The 2,073-nt window shown below is 35.2% G+C and overlaps 1 annotated feature.

Annotated features, from left to right (window-relative positions):
* Window positions 1,449-1,649: a silencer, noted in NCBI's record as "peak3805 fragment used in MPRA reporter construct". NCBI's record gives its function as "represses an SCP1 promoter by STARR-seq MPRAs in K562 erythroleukemia cells {active_cell/tissue: K562}" and the evidence as "EXISTENCE:reporter gene assay evidence [ECO:0000049][PMID:32103011]".

Here is a 2,073-nt window from a genome sequence, read left to right on the forward strand (position 1 = left end):
AAAAGATAAGGCATGAGAAAAACATTTCAATATAACTTAGACAGCCTGGAATGAAAATATTCCACTAGTAACCATAGGACACACTTATATCATTTCCCATAATATATTTTCCAGAAAGGAGTCTAGTGAGAGTGCAGAAAAGGGAGTGTTGGTAACTACAGGAATGGAAGAGCTTCAAGAAGAGACTATAAAAGTTATGTTATTACAACAAGTAAAGAGAGAGAGAGGTGAAAGAAGCTGAGAAGAATATTTTTGAAACAGAGAACAAGGGTTTCCTCAGAGGGGATCAAGTAGAGTCTGGCAGGAATGTAGGAAAAGCAGTCAATGAGACTGGGATGGTAGTTGGATTGTATTATGAAATCATTACTGTTAAGATCATAATATTGTATGGTTTGTATTTATCATAAGCCATGGATGCATTAGTAGTTGGCAAGTGGTTTTAAATACATAGACCAATATATTAACTAAGTGTTGCAATGAGGTTCTGTTCAATTTGTTTTATTATTGACGCTGGAATAGGAGTTAAGGACAGCCGTGAGGATCTTGGACTGAAAATGAATCTGAGAAATAACAGGTTCAAAGAAACTGTCCAGTACCATACGCTGCAATAGCTTTCTAAGAGGTGGGAGAAAACAAAACAGATTTGTTCCAATTAATATCCAGCTAAGTATTAGGCAGCACATCTTAACATTACTAAAATGCATACATAGGGCTGAGCCATAGATGAAACTATATCTATACATGCAGCCAGCATCTGAAAGGTGTTTTTTTTAATAACTAATTGGAACCAGGTTTTTCTTTCAGTATCGGTTCATCAGGACTGATTAGATAAAGAAAGAATTCCTGTCCTGTGAAGGAAATAGCTATAGAATCAAGATTAAATCAAGGAAAAATCACCTAGGCAGAAGCGTGTCATTCGAACTAAAGCATGTGCAATAGGGACAGAATAGCAGGAACCAGCCAAACAGAAAATTTCCTCAAATATAATTTCAGGCCAGGGATCAATACTAATACATAGTTATGGAAGCTTAGACACATGAAGAAAGAAAAATAAAGATAGAACTATTACATCCTTGGGTGGAAAGTACATTGAGCATGTGATGAGACAAACTAGTAGTGTAAATACAAAATACACCATTGCAAGGCACCTCATCTGAGACAATTAGCTCAGTGATTTAATTTTATTCATATTCCCTGGATCCAGGTAACTTATTATATAATATACAATTTTCCTCACTTGGTACCTTTTCTTCTTTTTCGTATGGTTGTTCTTGATTAGATTTTTTCTGGTCTAGTCCATCAATTTACCTATTTACCTAATTAGCTATCGAGTTCCCGCTACTACTACATTTACAAATGCCTTGGAGACAGAATGTTTTACTCTAATTTGCAACTCCTAAACAACTAAAATTTGTGCATAGTAGCCATTCAAATATATGGAGGAGTTAAATTAAAAAAGATCAAATGCTTCAGAGGTCGATTGCAATGAAGACTTGAAAAACAGTGATTTCATGTAACACACTTTTGAGAGTACTGTCCATGGTCCTGAGTACATCTCTGTGCAAGATGCAGTTTGTGTCTTCTGGGAGTTTACAGAAGGATAATAAATCAAACAAAAGATTACAATATGATTAGTGTTCAGAGGAAGATATTATAGGATAATATGGTGTAACAAAATAGTTTAACTAACCCCTAACTCATTGAATGTGGTGCTAACAGGTCACTTTATTTGTTTCACATTGCTACTACAACAAATTATTCACAAATTTGGTGGCTTAAAACAATACAAGCTTATGATCTTACAACTCTTTAGGTCAGATGCCTGACAGCTGTCTCACTGGGATAAAATCAAAATATTTCCGAGCTACATTTCCTTCAGGATGCTCTTAGAAAGAATTCGTTTCTTGACCTTTTTCAGTTCCTAGAAACCACCTGCATTCCTTGGCTAGTGGCTCTCTCATTTCATGTTTGAAGCCAACAATATGGCATACCTCTGACTCACCTTCATCATCCCATCTCTTTCTTTTATTTTTTAATTAATTAATTAATTTGAGACAAGGTCTTGCTTTGTTG

This window comes from Homo sapiens, chromosome 2 (genome assembly GCF_000001405.40).
Source record: "Homo sapiens chromosome 2, GRCh38.p14 Primary Assembly".
In the NCBI taxonomy this organism is placed as follows: Eukaryota; Metazoa; Chordata; class Mammalia; order Primates; family Hominidae; genus Homo; species Homo sapiens.